Below are 16,101 nucleotides of genomic sequence, written 5' to 3'. Positions count from 1 at the left end.
GGAAGCCAAGAGAAAGGGGTGGGGACGGAGTAAAGGGGTGGGGAGGGGGGAAAGGGGTGGGGAAGCCCAGGAGAAGCCCAGGCCACAAGGGGCTGCAGAGAGGGCATTCAGTCAGAGTTCCTTCCCTTCCCTTAGGCCTCCTCTTCCATCCAGTTCTGCCCTTGTGGTCAAACAAAAGATTGCAGAGAAAGGATGAAGGAGGTGAGGCATGGGCAGAATAGCTGTTATTTGCAGCTCCAGGGCGGCCGGGCTGTCTGCCAGCAGAAGCAGCCAAGGGTCTTGTTAACAGAGATGCGACGTCAGAAGCAGCCAAGGGTCCTGTTAACAGAGATGCGACGTGCAGAAGGTGGGAGTGGGGTGGCTCCTGGCAGACTCCTCCACCCTGGCCTGTTGTGGCACTCCAGCCTCTGTTTGGCCCTCTTTCCCACCCCTACTTCAGCTGTGCCTTCAGCACCCCCTCCCCGGCCCTGCCTTGCCTCCCCGCCCAGACCTGGGGTTCAGAGTGACCTTCTGCCTGGCATACCTCAGGGTCTTGCACCCCATCCGGGTTCTCTCTGTGGTTACTCTGGCCCAGTGGCAGACATAGCACATCGGACACTCAGAGCAGGTCACTTTTACAGTTATTCTTGGTAGTAATCACAAAATGAAAACATTGTATGGATGAACTAAAATGTGCACTAGCCAAGCAAAACCATTTCACTCTGTTTGCATTTGTTTCACTGTTTTAAATGTTAAACTCGAATAAAAACTCCATGTGGGCACAGAGAAAGAACTGAAATAACTCAATTTTTGTTTCTTTGTTTTTCTTTCTTTCTTTTTTTTTTTTTTTTAGAGCGGGTTTTGCTCTTTTTGCCCAGGCTGGAATGCAGTGGCTCGATCTCGGCTCACCGCAACCTCTGCCTCCCAGGTTCAAGCGATTCTCCTGCCTCACACTCCCGAGTAGTTGCAGGTATGTGCCACCACACCTGGCTAATTTTGTATTTTCAGTAGAGACGGGGTTTCCCCATGTTGGTCAGGCTGGTCTCAAACTCCCGACCTCAGGTGATTTACCCGCCTCGGCCTCCCGAAGTGCTGGGATTACAGGCATGAGCCACCAGGCTCAGCCATGTTTCTTTTTCTAATCACTGCACAGTCACTGATTATTTCAAACCCACTTCCTAAATGCAAGAGTAGGTAGCTGCACCAGGAACTAGAGACACAAGTTTATATTAAGCTGCTCAAATGATCCTAAATCACCACAAACAGACTCTCCAAACACATGCTTGTCATTGAATGGGCATGTTTCGGGGCTGACTGCATAACTGAGTTCTCCATGCTTATTAAAACAAAAGTCGGCCGGGCGCAGGCTCACGCCTGTAATCCCAGCATTCTGGGAGGCTGAGGTGGGAGGATCACCTGCGATCAGAAGTTCGAGACCAGCCTGACCAACATGGAGAAACCCCGTCTCTACTAAAAATACAAAATTAGCCAGGCATGGTGGAGCATGCCTATAATTCCAGCTACTTGGGAGGCTGAGGCAGGAGAATTGCTTGAACCCAGGAGGCGGAGATTGCGGTGAGCCAAGATGGTGCCATTGCACTCCAGCCTGGGTGACAAGAGTGAAACTCCATCTCAAAAAAAAAAAAAAAAGTCACCAGAATATGCTAATGTGAGCATACATACATGTTAGTAAAACTTAACAGTATCTACAGCAATTGTTTAGCACAAGGAGCAATATTCTATCATTCACCTTTTTTTAGATTTTTCAGAGCATGGTGATAATAAAAAGCAGCCTGGCTTTTGGCCGGGTTCATTACTGATTCACATCAGGTGCAGCCAATGCACCCCTTACTGGCTGTCCCAGGACAGACGGTTCCTGCCTCTCACCTTAGCCTGCCACACCCCTAGCACTTCATTAGCTGTGAGGAAGGGTCCTGCCTGACGCCCCCAGGCCTAACCCTCTGACCTAACCCACAGATCCTATGGCTGGAAACTGTTGCATATACCCTGGCCCCCACCTGGAGACACCAGACCACCTCGGTCCTCACCCTGACTATGTCCCGCCTGGGCAATCACCACCCCTGGTCTAAGTAGTGGCAGGGTTGACCCGAGGAGGAGGTCTCTGGGGATGAGGACATTTCTGGCTCTGCCCTGTGACCCCAGAGGGACACTCGTCAGGGTCCCTCTCACTTTCCCAGCCCAGATGGCTGTAAGTCCACCCATCGCAGATGTGCCGCAGCAGCCAAGCCCCACACCAGCAGGGACGCCGTGCCCGGCAGGCAGCCTGGGTCAGCCCGTGCCTGCCCACCAGACTGGTGACCCTAATCCTGTGTGCAGACAGGGCCAGCCCGAAACCCTCCCTTGCACAAAAGGCCTTTGTTCTGCTGCCCTTCCTCCCTGTCCCCCATGGCTGCCTTTTCTTCAGCCAGGGAGGAAGGAAGCTCCCTGCCGAGCACACCACCTCCAGGCCCGGTGCCAGCCGTCCCTTCCCATCCTCATCCCTGTCCTCAGCTGAGAAGAAACTAGAAAGGCCAGGCGTGGGCTTTGTGTCAAGCCTGAGAGGGTTTGCTCCTGATGCCACGCACTAGCTTCCCAAGTCTGGGCTTGTTCCTGCCTCTCTGCAAGCCCACTTCTTGGACATAGAGGTGTCCTCCTTCCTGGAACAGATTTGAGCGCAACAGGAGACCACATCTCCCTCCCTCCTTGCTGTGTCTCCGGCTCCTCAAGCCCCATCCAGACTCCAGGCCCTGACCCTCACCAAGCCCCGAACCAGAGCCCTCCTCCCCGTGTGGCTGGCCCCGATGACACAGGCCCTGATCACGCGGAACACTCTGAATTCTTACCCAATTTATTTTTCTTCCCAACCAGCAGTTCTCAAATATGTTGCTCTCAGGATCCCTTTAGTAGGATCACCGGGTTTACTACATAAATAACAGTACAGAATGCCCAGTTCAATTTGAATTGCAAATAAATAACAAATAATTTTTTTAGAACAACTACTTCCCAAATATTGCACAGGACACACTTCCATTGTATCTGGCAAGCCTATTTTCCATACTCTTAAAAATTATCAAGGACTTCAAAGAGCTGTAGTTCATGTGAGTTATGAAAACTGATATTTACTGTATTCAAAACTAAGACAGATGAATTATTAGAATATTTATCAAAGTATAAGAGAATCTTTTTAAAAGAAATAATACATGTTCACATAAAGCATTTTTATGAAAAAGCTACATTTTTCAAAACAAAGAAATCAGTGGGAAAAGTGGTGTTGTTTTGCACTTTTGCAAATCCTTTTAATGTCTGACTTAATTGAAGACAGCTGGATTTTCATAGCTGTTTCTTCATTCAGTTCGTTGCGATATGTGGTTTTCATTGAACTATGTGAACAAAATCTGGCCTTGCACAGATATGCAGTTAGAAAAGGGAGGAGCATTTTAATAGACTTTTCAGATCTTTGTGAATATTTTTCTTTGCTATAACACCAAAACTCAACGAGTGTTAATTTCTTAAACTTTATTCATGATGCAGAATTTGGAACCATATGAAGAGCTTTTCATACTTGGTTACACGAAAATCCATCTGTCTTTTTTTTTTTGTTTGGAGACCAGGTCTCACTCTGTCACCCGGGTAGGAATGCAGTGGCGCAATCTCAGCTCACTGCAACCTCTGCCTCCCAGGCTCAAGAGATTCTCCTGCCTCAACCTCCCGAGTAGCTGGGATTACAGGCGCGTGCCACTCCCGCCAGCTAATTTTTGAGTTTTTAGTAGAGATGGGATTTCACCATGTTGGCCAGGCTGGTCTTGAAATCCTGACCTCAAATGATCCACCTGCCTTGGCCTCCCAAAAGTGCTGGGATTACAGGCATGAGCCACTGCACCTGGAGTTTTGTTTTGTTTTTTAAGATTGAGTCTCACTCTGTCACCCAGGCTGGAGTGCAACGGTGCGATCTCGGCTTACTGCAGCCCCCACCTCCTGGGTGCAAGAGATTATTGTGCCTCAGCCTCCCAAATAGCTGGGACTATAGGCACACACCATCATGCCTGGCTAATTTTTGTATTTTTAGTAGAGATGGGATTTCAACATGTTGGCCAGGCTGGTCTTGAACCCCTGACCTCAAATGATCCACCTGCCTGGGCCTCCCAAGGTGCTGGGATTACAGGAGTGAGCCACCTCGCCCAGCCTGTCTATCTTGTTCTTTGAATGGCTTTTTTTTTTTTTTACCTTCACACATATTGTAACAACATGGGTTGATCATTTAAAGAATATTGGTTCACTCACCTTCCAAATGTTGACATATCTTATTATTCAATAAGTAAACATCACAGTTTGCTGATATCCCTGCCAATCTCATCAGAAAAGTCTGTAAGTATTGGCTCCTGGTGCTGGTACAAGTTTTTGTTTGTTTTTTTGTTTTGACACAAGGTCTCGCTCTGTCACCCAGGCTAGAGTGCAGTGGCCCAATCACAGCTCACTGCAGGCATGCACGCCAACATGCCCAGCTAATTTTTATATTTTTAGTAGAGATGGGGTCTTGTTATGTTGCCCAGTCTGGTCTCAAACTCCTGGGCTCAGGCAATCCTCCCAAAGTGCTGGGATTACAGGTGTGAGCCACCATACCTGGCCAGTTTTCTAACATTCTAATTTTCACTTGAAAGCTGGAATCTTTTCACTGGCAACAATTCCTGTCAGTTGTTTTCCTTGAAGCGACAGCTCATTTTGATCATTTTCAAGAAAATATCTGCCACGATACCAAGTCTGAATAACCATAGCTTGCCATTTTTATGAAACCCTTGGGTTCTATATAAACGTGGCTATTTGGGCTGACAACTCAAACATCTCACGTGTGCCTTTTTTCTGAGAACCATCACACTTGGGCTTGCTTTATGTGCACTTCCCACTTTGTCACGAAGAATATTCAGAAGATGTGCACTCAAGGGTCAGGCTCAACACCACTGCTAGTCTGTGCGCTTAGCAAGGATGTGACCCAGGTGTGCTGGTGAAGACTATAGGGGCCACCAACAGGTGCACCACGGCCCCGACTGTGCTTTTCTCCTCATCTTCTGCATCATTCGAGCAAATGTCAGTGAAGGAAAGGGGCTAATGATATCTTAGGATCATTATGAAAACCATTTGACCCTGTGGATCTTCTAAGAGAGCCTTGGGATTCCTGGGGGTCTGCGGACCACACTTCGGGAACCTCTGTGTTGCATGGATTTATTTGTGCCTCTGCCACTGGACTGTTGGCCCCACGAAGGTCAGGGTCTTTGTCCCCCATTTTCTGCTGTGGCCCAGCCCCTTGAACAGTTGCCTGCCTCTCCTTAGAACACAGAATGGACAATCAGGGCTTCTCCTCCCTGCCCAGAGAGACCCACGGTCATGAGTTTTGGTGTCTATGCTTCCAGGTATTTTTCAAGGGGTTTCCATGCATGGTTACTCCTCCAGGAAATAAATGACATTAATGCAAGACATACTTGCTGAGTGCTGACCATGCACACAGGGGCCCCAGCAGGCAATAAGGCGCACAGATCTCTGCTGGCCTGGGGCTGACCACTGTGTGGGGAGACCACCAGCAGGCCCATCAGTAAGCCAACACGCAGAAGGTCAGCTGGTGGCACGGGAAGCAGGGGGAAGCTGGGCGGGGCTGGCACGAGGGGAGGGTAAATATGAGGCACATCAGGCAAGGCCTCCCTGAGAAGGTGATAGGTAAGCAAAGAACTGCATAAAATGAGAGAGCAAATCATGTGGATACTTACTGAAAGAACAGCAAGTGCAAAGGCCCTGAGGCGGGAACACGCTAGCTCCCTGTCCTGGCCAACGACACCTGGGATACATTCCACACTCCAGAGACATTTCCAAGCATTGGCCATGTGCCCGGTGCTGCCTGAGACCCTCATGGGGCTCATTCCAGGGGGAGGAGAAAGGCAATAAAAACAAATAGGTAAACAAACACATCTGTGTCCAGAAGTGGCAAGTGAAAAAAAAAATACAATGGGGAAAAAGAAGAGGGAGTAGCAGGATGGCTGTTTTTAAAACAGGGCCCAGGGGAGGCTTCTCTGAGGAGGGGACATAAGGAAGAGGTGGGGGAGCTCTGCTGGCTTCATTCCCATTTCACAGATGGGGAAACTGAGCTTCCAGAGCTCACCAGCCTGCCCAAAGGCACACAGCTGTGCAGGACAGAGTCAGGAGAGGACCCAAGTCTCTCAGGTACTACCGATAGATACCTGCTGTCTCATGGCAGCAGGGCCCCAACTCAGGGTGAAATCTGCCAGAGCTTGGCAGGGCCTCCCTGCACAGCCCAACAAGGATAACATCGACAATAACAGTAAGAGCTGTGGCAGCCCGGACTGCTTCCCCCTCCGAATCCTCACAAGCGCCCTGTGAGAGAAGTGCTAGTATTATCCCCACTTTACAGATGAGGAGACTGAGGCTCAGGGAGGGTGTCTCACACCTAGGACCACAGGCACACTGACTCCAAGACCATAATTTTTATTTTCACAATTTCCAATACAAAACACCTTATAGTTGAATACTGGCATACTCACATTAACACATAAAGTACATATCTTTTTAAAGACCTCTTTATTCATATATAACTCACATATCATATAATTCACCCATTTAAAGTGTATAATATGGTTCGGCTGTGTACCCACCCAAATCTCATCTTGAATTGTAGCTCCCATAATTCTCATGTGTGGTGGGAGGGATCTGGTGGGAGGTAATTGAATCATGAAGGGTGGGCTTTCCCATGCTGTTCTCTCGATAGTGAATGAGTCTCACAAGATCTGATGGTTTTATAAAGAAGAGTTCCCCTGCACAAGCTCTCTCTTGCCTGCCGCCATGTAAGATGTGACTTTGCTCCTCCTTTGCCTTCCACCATGATTGTGAGGCCTCCTTAGCCATGCAGAACTGTGAGTCCATTAAACCTCTTTCCTGTATAAATTACCCAGTCTTGGGTATGTCTTTATTAGCAGCATGAGAACAGACAAATACAATGAACAACTCAGTAGTTTTTAGAATATTTGAAGGATTATACAATCATCATCACAATCAATTTTAGGACACTTCCATCACCCCAACAAAAAAATCTCACGTCCACTAGCACTCATTCCCCATTCACCACTCCCCGCCCTAGCAACTGCTGATCTAGCTTCTGTCTCTATGGATTTCCCATTCTGGACATTGGAGACAAATCGAAGCATACACTCTGTGGGCTTAAATGGAAGCATACACTCTGTGGGCTTTTGTGTCTGGCTGCTTTCACTCAGCATGATGTTTCCAGGGTTCATCCACGTGGTCGGGCTCATCAGTCCTTCATTCCTTTTTATGGCTGAATAATATTCCACTGGGTGCAGACACCACATTTTACTCATCCATTCATCAGCTGATGCACATTTGGGTTGTTTCTGCCTCTTGGCTCACATTTATGTGACACAAAATTGTAAACCAGATTGCCACATCTACACCCATACGGGCAGATCACTTCCGTATAATTAATGTATTCATGGAGAAAACAGTCAAGAACCAAGGCCTGAGTGGAAGGGTTCATGCCACAATGGGCAGGTGTATGCTGCTCTCCAGGGTCTGCGCTGTATGTTTTTATTTCAGAAAGTTTCTAGCAGAAGTAGAGAGCGTAGTAAAATGACCTCCCTTCTCAGGAACCCCCAGGTTCCCTGCCCGGGACAGCTGCTCTTCCCAGCAGCTCACACACTGGCCCCTCTGGGAGTGGGGCTTCTGGCCTGAGAGTCCAGTGTCCCGTGGGGCTGTCAGGAAGGGATGCTGGTACCAAGCAGTCACCCAGAGTTCCTGGCTACACTGCCAGCCTCTCCCTGGGCCTAGCAGGGTCATCTCTGGATTGATACCTGCCTTGTGGGGCTGAAGGGGTGGAAAGGCCTTTGGGGGCAGGGACATGCAGGTGGGGTGGGGGCCCCCTGAGGTAGCTCAGCACTGTCTCACCCCAGCAGCACCTGGGCGCCCAGGGCAAGCGCCCTTCCTCCCCTCAGCCTTCTCTGCCCCCTGCCTTGGAGTCCCTTCCATCCAGCAAGTTCCAAGAACAGCCTGGAAAGAGCAGGAGCGGGGAGACAGAGGCCTAGGGAGTGTTGGGACTTGTCAGGGCCACACAGCATGTGCAGGGCAGGGACTCCGTCCTTCTCCATGGGCCTCAGTGTCCCAGTGTAGGCGATCCAGGTGGTCTTCCTCATGACAGAAAGGAGGACACACTGCAGCGGGGCTGGCTGTCATTTGCAAACCGCCTTGTGGTTCCTCCCTCCCATTTCACAGATGAGGAAACTGAGGGTCGGGAAGGAGGTGGGTTTCATTTGGCATCACACAGGGAGGCCAAAACAGAAAAGCCTTCAGGCCCAGGATCTCTATTCTTCCCTGGAGATGGGACTGAGGTTTCCTGAGGACAGAAGTTCCAACGGAAGGCAAGGAGGGGAAAACACTATGTTGATGTTGCTGTTTTGTTCTTTCACTTTTCCCTTGTTAGCCCTACTCTGTGCCAGGCCTTGGGAGAGGGTTTAGCCAAGTTCATGCTGGTGTTTTCCTCACAACAGCTGTGGGAGGAGGGAGGCTCCACCCCATTTTACAGATAGGGAAACTGAGACTCAGAGAGAAAAGGTAACTGGCTCAAGACTAACAACAAGCAAGTAGCAGAGCCAGGGAGGGGCCCAGGTCAGGGGCTGGGGAAGACCAAAACAAGATGAGGCCTGAAGTGGGGAGAAGGCATCCAAAATACCAAAGCTCTTCCCTGTCCTCAGTCTCCCAGGCTTCTAGCCATGGCCACCCACCACTTCTGGAAGGGGCCTGCTCTCTCGTGCCCCTGGGCTTTTGTACATGCTGTTCCTTCTGCTTAGAATGCTTAGCTCAAACGTCTCTTCCTCCAGGAAGCCCTCTTGGGCTGGAATAGCTCCTCAGGCCGAAAGCCCCTGAGCTTTCAGAGCACTGAGTTTGCTGGGCTGCTCAAGGGTGGGCTAGAAGCTCTGGGTCCAGACACTTGGAGGCTCTGCAGCCAGTGGACCTCTCTAGGAGGAAGAGAAGCTGATGGCTTGATTCTTGTCGGAGCTAGAGGACTTGCAAGCTAGCATGGAGCTCCACCCACGCTCTCCATGTTCCTGCAGCTGAGACAGGGGCTGCGGCGCTCTGAGGTCCATTGGGGTCGCTGTGGGTGCCCAGCTCCCTGGCCCCGCCCCAGCCCCAGCAGTCTCTCCAATGCTCAGGCTGCAAATGGGTGGGGACTCCTTGGGGACCTCATCCCACCTCCTGACGGGGGACCAAAGAGGGAAAGGGCCCCCAATCTCAGCCTGGCTGCCTCTTGGGAGAGGAGATGGAGGAGAATGGGGGCAGAACTCCCGCAGTGCTGGGAGAGGCCTGCCAGGCAGCCAGGGAGGCAGGAGCGGCAAAGATGGGGTTTCGGGGTAGGGGCAGTGCAGTCTCAGCCTAATCCTGTGGGTATCGGGCGGCAGCATCAGCACCACTGCAGGAAGGCCTTCCCAACAGACGCACACACACCATTGTCCCACTCCCCAGACTCTCCGTGTTTATTTCCCTCTTGTCCTCATTAGAATGTCTTCCAAACAGTCCAGCCCTGTGTGTCATAGGACCTGGGGGCAGGACTTCCAGTAATGCTGGGGCCAGGGTATCAGAGGAGGGAAGGATACCCGGCCTCGCCCACCCCCAGAGGTCTGGAGTCATTGGGGAGGGAAGAGGGGACTCTGGAGACAAAGTCAGCCGAAGCACTGTCACCAAGCTTCCCCCAACCCAGGAAGCCGCCCCTCCAGGGTCAGCCTCGGGGAAGGGAAGGACCAGCCCTGAGGACAACTCAGGGCTGAGTGTGCGACACCCAAGGCACAGTGAACCCAGAGTCCTGGTCTGCGAGGCCCACGGGCTGGGGCCTGCCTGGGTCTCGCCAGCCCTCCCAAGGCCTTGGCCCCAGGCCCTGATGCCTGGTCCCAGCTCCCAGGCCCTAGACTCTGCCAACCCTGGCAAGATGCCCTCCCTCCCCTCAGCAGGCGCCGCCTTCCTCCCCTAGCCCAGGAATTGCCCCATGTGTCCAGCCACACGAGGAGCTCCCGGAGCTGGCTTTGTCCCAAGCATCCTTCCAAGCAGAACATATCTGCTCCCGCCTGCAGGCTTCCCCGGGCCTCCTGCCACCAACCCTTGGGGGGGCAGCCACAACATTTGTGCTGAGCCCAGGCCGACAGTCCCTGGCACTGCCTCTGCAGGCGGGTGCCCACTCTTCACCTCGTGCCCGAGAGACCTTGGTAGAACGCTGGCCGAGCCTCCACCCTGCACTTTCTCCTCCCCACCGTCTGGCCTACATTCCTGGGATGGACCCAAGTTCCCATAGGCAGAGAATCCATCCCTGGGCTGGCATCGTTTGGGAAAAGCATCAAGGACTTGCCTGGAGGTATCCAAGGACTCCGAAGCAAGTGCCAGAGCAAACCCCACCCGTGCCTGCTTCCTTCCTCGGGCCCTCTGGATGGATAAGGGGAGGTGGAGGAAGACAGAGGCACAGAGGTCAGACTGCAGACCAAGCCTTTGGTGTACATGACAGCCAAGCTTTACCTCTACGGCATTGTGTTGGTGGCATTACTGTCCCGCTTTATAGAAGAAATGGAGAAAAAGAGAGAAAGGACCTGCCCAAGGTCACACAGCCAGGAAGTGGCACAGGCAGGATTGAACCCAGGACCCATTTTCAATGCCCCTGAAACCAGCCTGCCATGCTTGGGGCCTGAGCCTCACTTGAGCGGGCATGGGAAAGATGGCAGCCTCCTTCCCATCAGTGGGTAGGGCTGGAGGTCGATGGTCTTGGACCCTGGATTCACAAGGACCTTGGAGCCCAAGTCTCCACGCAGTAGCTGCCTCCTCCTGGATCAAGTTTATTAGGCCCTATAACTGGGCTCCTGCCTCAGTTTCCCTTGCTGCCTAGAAGGCTGGGTCCTGCTGCTCCTCCTGGGTCCAGGAGACAGTTCCTGTGTGGCTGTCCTGACCAAGGTTACAGATCCCTCACCTTCCTTCTAAGGTGGCTCCTGGTGCTCACTAAGCACATGTGAGCACCCTGGCCCCGGACCCCACCATGTGCCTCCTGTCCTTTTTCCTGGGCCTTGAGTTGGAAGGGCAGCAGGGACAGAGGGCTCCGCCCCCGGTTTCTCAGTAGAGGTAAAAGATGGAGGCCGACAGAGGGTCAGGGCCTGCCTCAGGCCACCCAGTGCACAACCTGGGTCAGCCAGGGACTGTCCCAGGCCTGGGAGCTGCAGAAGCCGAGGGGAGGGTGGGGCTGCCGGGGGCTGGGGCTGATGACTGCTCTATCTTCCAAACAACAGCAGCAAGGGATGGCAGCCAGGCTGTCGGGACAGCCTGTTCCCATAGCGGGGCCCAGGGGAACCTAGCCTGACCACACCTCGGCTATGCCGGGCCTGACATCTGTGCAGCTGCATCGGGTGACCCAGGCTGGCCCTGTCCCTGCTCAGTTCCTCCGAGGGCTGCAGCATGGCAGTAGCCCAGGGCCCGCGGGTCCACCATTTCCGCGGCTGATGGGGCTGGGGGTCCTCCCCGAGGTCAGGGGACCCATCCCCTGCCTCTGGGGGCACCTGCCAGGCTGGTGGAAGAAAGAAGGGGAGAGAAAGCTGAGGAAGCAAGGGAGGGAGCTGCCACCCACTCCGCTTCTACTTCCTGCAGCTTCTGTGAGGGGCTGTCACCTCCGGAGGCTTGCTGTGGGTGCACATGGTACGCAGAGACAGTGGACGTGGCTGGCCCACACCAGGCAGCTGTGTGCGGCAGAACCCTCGCATCCAGCCTAGAGTGCCTATAGCAAGGGCTGCCATCAAGACCACTTGCTTCTGGGCATGGTTCTGAGTGCTTTACATGAGCTGACGCATTTATTCCTCACAGCAACCCCAAGAGGCAGCTACTAATATTATCCCCATTTTATGGATGAAGTAAATGAGACTGGGGCGGTTAAGTCATTCACCTAAGGTCAAAGGAAAGTGGGCCCTGACCAGTGCCGTCCAGTTTATCCCAGTACCGGTACCCCTGTGGATGGAAAGGGTGAAGCCTGTTCCTCCCACGCCCACTGATGTCTCCTCCAACACCGCCCCCCGCCTCCCCCGCCTGGCCTGGCTGCCAGCAACTCCTTGGACGCTCCAGGTGGAAAAACAATTGTGGGGCTGGCTCGGGTGGCTGGAGCAGCCGGGAGCTCCAGGCTTGGTGTCCCACCTATGCCAAGCCGCCAGAGCAGGGTGGGGGATGGGAGCACTTGCTCAGGAGCAGGGTGGGGATTCAGAGGAGACGCTGGGGCCCACCAGGGATGGCAGAAGCAGGCCTCTACCCCGGCCTGGCCAAAGTCGGCTCTGGGCCTGCTCCCCACAGTCAGAAGGGCAGGGGGAGCCCCCCAGCAGGCACCAGCCAACTTCCCTCCCGACTGGAGCAAATGACTGAGTCTTTACCAAGCGCCTACTAAGCACCGCAGGCCCTGTTCCGGGGGTCGAGTCAGGGACAGACCCAATCCTGCCCCTTTACTGCCTGGCAGGAAGAACAGGCAAGGAAACACACAGTCTCAAGAATGCTTGCTTGTTTCAACTCCCTGGGGATCTCAGTTTGAGCTGAGGAAACTGGGGCTCTGGGAGACGAAGTGAATCGCCCAAGCACTCAGCAAGGCCGAGCTGAGATTCTGAGCCCTCGTGCCTGGGCTCTGAACTCACCCAGATCCCACCTTGGTGCCAGCTGCTTCTCATTGAGCACCTACTGTGTGCTGGGTCATTCCCAGGCCCGCCCGACCCTCCCAATGGCCCCCCAGGTGGGTATGGCCATTGCCATTTTAGAGAAGCGGTAGCCGAGGCTCCGAGTCGGGGAACCACTTGCTGAGAGTCACCTTGCTGGAAAGGGACCCCACCCCAGAGTGTCTGACCCCAGAGCCCACAGCCTCCCCCAGACTTTTTCTGGAAACTCCTGGCATTTAGGGGAGTGAGAAAGAGCTGTCCTGAGCAGGTCAGAGTGGTGTCAGGGATGCTGCCAGTGGGGCCACCTCCTACACTGGGGACAGCTGGGGGCTGGACCTTGGCTGACACTATCCTTTTACAATGATACGTTATTCATCTAGCTTAAGCCACACAGATGAGAACTCTCTAGATAATTTTGGTCTTTCCTTTTAGACAACAACACAGTTATAATTTAACTATTTTAAGAGGACATGAAGTCTACACAATGTCTTCTCTGCGTTAATTACCATGGTGAACCATTTTCAGGCCACAGACCAGTACAGTGAAGGTCTTGGTGCTCAGTGAGATAGGGAACGTTACTTGCACCTACACAAATGGCCCCAAACTGATATTTTGTTGTTATTCTTGTTCTTATGTCTGCATTTAACGGTTGTTCTGTCTCTCTCTTATTGTTGAGCTGTTATTTCTAAAAGCGCTAAGGGTTTGCTCTGGAAAGTAGAAAATAAGCTTGATGCATCTTGTGAGTGTCTGAGTTATCAATGGTTCTGCTGTGAGCAGAACTTAACAACAAAGGGAATTCACCAAAATAATAAATTACACCAAGTACTTATCGAGCTAGAGAAGCTCTGGGGACTCAAGGATTAAAATCAGGGTCTTGATTATGGCATGGTCACTAGCCTTTGCAGCAATTGTTTGCAAATTAGAAAAAGGCTCCACTTCTTCAAAATACTTTACTAGTGCCTACTAGAAAATTATTTTAATCAATACACAAATCTACTGTGATTACCGTGTAACAGCAGCCTCGAGAGTTGTGCAGTGCACAACCTGTGCAGATGCTCATGGCAGCCCTATCTTGACATCACCAGAATTCCCTCTTTTCCATCATGTTTTTTCTTTTTCTCCCTTCGTTTTACTATTTCATACCTCAGACAGGCTTTCTGTTTGTGGTGGGAAATATGGCTTCTCTAAAACTTGATAACTCAGAAGATAAAGTCCTTCCTCTTCCACTCAAAATGTAAAAGTAATGTAAGGACTCTTGAGTCACATGATATCTCTAAACCATCCCTATGATCAGGGAAATGGAAAGTGTATCAGCCAGGCTGATATCAGTAAGGTTATGCTGCAGAAACAAACCACCCTTAAGCATCAGGAGCTTAAACAATCAAGGTTTATTTATCGCTCACACTGGATGTCAGCCCTGGTTTGACTGGGAGACCTGAGTCATCTGGGATTTCAGGGACCCAGACTGTCGGGGGCTACAGCTTGAAATGTGCTCCCTCCATCGCTGTGGCAAAGGGGTTGTGGAGAATCGCACACTGGCTCTTAAAGCTTCCACTTGGAGGGCACACAAGCCACTGAGCTCATGGTTCATAAAACAAGTACATGCCACGTCTAGCCATGCAGGGGATGGAGGTGCAGGCCTGCCCAGCCTGGAAGAAGCCTGGTCTAGGGTTATCTGAGCTTGAATCACACACTTACACAGCCCCTGGAATCATAGCCTAGGTGGGCAGGGCACTGTGACTGTTCCAGCCTGGGACTGGGGAGAGGGAGCTCTTCAAGGAAGCAAGAAGGATGTCACCTGGCCCCAGGCAACCATGTAGGGCAGCTGCCAAGACTCAGCCAGCCTGGAGCGGCCACACCCAGCCTCTGGGCACTGCGGCCAGAGGAACCCGAAAAACCCAAAGGGACAAGAACTCCAGGGAAGAAACACACTCCGGCCCCGCAAAAAGCATGGGAGCAGCTGGACCTGAAGACATCTCTTCTGCCCGCAAGAGAGGCTTCAGATGTGCAGCCCTGGATGTGTTCACACCCTCTGGAGGCAGCCATGGGTGGGCAGAAGCGCCGGGTGAGTAAGGACCAATCATCCACATCCCCTGGTGTGGCTGAGACCTTCCTAAACTCCTGTACCACACTTTCCAGCCCGGTTTTACAGAGCAGGCTACTGGGGCTTGGATGGGTCAAGGGACCTACTTAAGTTCACAGAGCCAGCTGGGAAACCTGCATGTACCAAACACCTACCACACACCAGGCTGCATTCCATTCTCAGGAGTTCCCATCCCCAGGACACAGGAGAGAAAACGCAGAGGCCGGGCACATCGCAGTCAGGCGGGCCCACCCCCGAAGCATCTGCCCTCCCCACATCACTCTCTAGGTAATGGGGTTGGGAGGGACCCTTTGGGATTGGGGAGCCAAGGGGAAAGAGCAGCAGTCCTTTTTTAAAGGACGATGAGTGTGACACGTGACCAAGGAACTCGTGCACCAAGTGGGCGTCTGCCGGCTCGTGTTTAAGGCACATTCCTGAGCTCCAAAAGGAGAAATAAAACTGTTCCCTTGTCTGTGAGCTGAAGAGGCAGCAATATTGTGGGGTAACTAGGACCAGATGGGCTCCAGGAATTTCCAAAGGCCTTTTAGCATATTAGACAAAATAGCCTCCCAGACACACACGGTAACTTTGTCTGGCCGCCTGGTATCGGTTACCGAGACAACCGGTGGAATGCGCACACTGGCTGGAGGGTCCCAGAAGGGAGCGGGCCTCTGGCAAGGCCCCTGCACACTCCCCACTGCCACAGCAGGAGCCCCCCTCACACTTGATCCCTTCCCTCTGGTTCCAAGACCAGGGCACACCCTGAGAAACTCAGCCTCTCAGGGTTGGCAGGGGCTAGGAAAGTCCCAGAAACTGGGAAGTCCCAGATGGTTCCCACAGCCCCAAGCCTCCACTTGCACCCCTTTGAGGGGTGTGAGAGGTCACACCCCACAGGGCACCCAGTGTGGGGGTGACTGCGGCCAGCTAGGTGTCAGCCCCGGGCTCTACCACCCTGGCTGGGAGAGCCTTGGGGGGCCATCAAACCTCCCCCAGTCCCCTTTCCTCATCTGCAAAACATAGTTACGTGAGGACAAAGCCATTTGATACAAGCGTGGTGCCTAGAGTGTGCCAAAACTAGCAAGCGCTCCTTCTGCACTGGCCACTATCATGGTGCTCTGTGAACAGTTCTGGCTATGAGAAAGTCCTTTCTCACTCTGACTTAGGTAATATTATTAGCTAAAATTAACTGAGCATTTGCCACGTGCCAGGGCATCTGATGGGGGAAACGGCTGAGGCTCAAGATGGTGGTTGCCTCACCCAAGGCAGCACAGCTAGACCCAAGCAGCTAGACCCAAGCTCTACTCGCTGTGGACACTG

General features: G+C 52.6%; 4 annotated features.

Moving 5' to 3' along the window:
- Positions 2,299-2,902: an enhancer, noted in NCBI's record as "H3K27ac-H3K4me1 hESC enhancer chr3:13567399-13568002 (GRCh37/hg19 assembly coordinates)". NCBI's record gives its function as "activates a minimal SCP1, AML or CMV promoter by ChIP-STARR-seq in naive and primed H9 embryonic stem cells {active_cell/tissue: H9 hESC(naive and primed)}" and the evidence as "EXISTENCE:reporter gene assay evidence [ECO:0000049][PMID:30033119]".
- Positions 9,640-10,529: an enhancer, noted in NCBI's record as "H3K4me1 hESC enhancer chr3:13559772-13560661 (GRCh37/hg19 assembly coordinates)". NCBI's record gives its function as "activates a minimal SCP1, AML or CMV promoter by ChIP-STARR-seq in primed H9 embryonic stem cells {active_cell/tissue: H9 hESC(primed)}" and the evidence as "EXISTENCE:reporter gene assay evidence [ECO:0000049][PMID:30033119]".
- Positions 11,903-12,831: an enhancer, noted in NCBI's record as "H3K4me1 hESC enhancer chr3:13557470-13558398 (GRCh37/hg19 assembly coordinates)". NCBI's record gives its function as "activates a minimal SCP1, AML or CMV promoter by ChIP-STARR-seq in naive H9 embryonic stem cells {active_cell/tissue: H9 hESC(naive)}" and the evidence as "EXISTENCE:reporter gene assay evidence [ECO:0000049][PMID:30033119]".
- Positions 15,578-15,737: an enhancer, noted in NCBI's record as "active region_19492". NCBI's record gives its function as "activates an Ori minimal core promoter by ATAC-STARR-seq in GM12878 lymphoblastoid cells {active_cell/tissue: GM12878}" and the evidence as "EXISTENCE:reporter gene assay evidence [ECO:0000049][PMID:35858748]".

The sequence above is a fragment of the Homo sapiens genome, chromosome 3 (assembly GCF_000001405.40).
Source record: "Homo sapiens chromosome 3, GRCh38.p14 Primary Assembly".
Lineage (NCBI taxonomy): Eukaryota > Metazoa > Chordata > Mammalia > Primates > Hominidae > Homo > Homo sapiens.
Note: the sequence above shows the minus strand (reverse complement) of the source record. Positions and strands in the feature narration are given on the sequence as shown.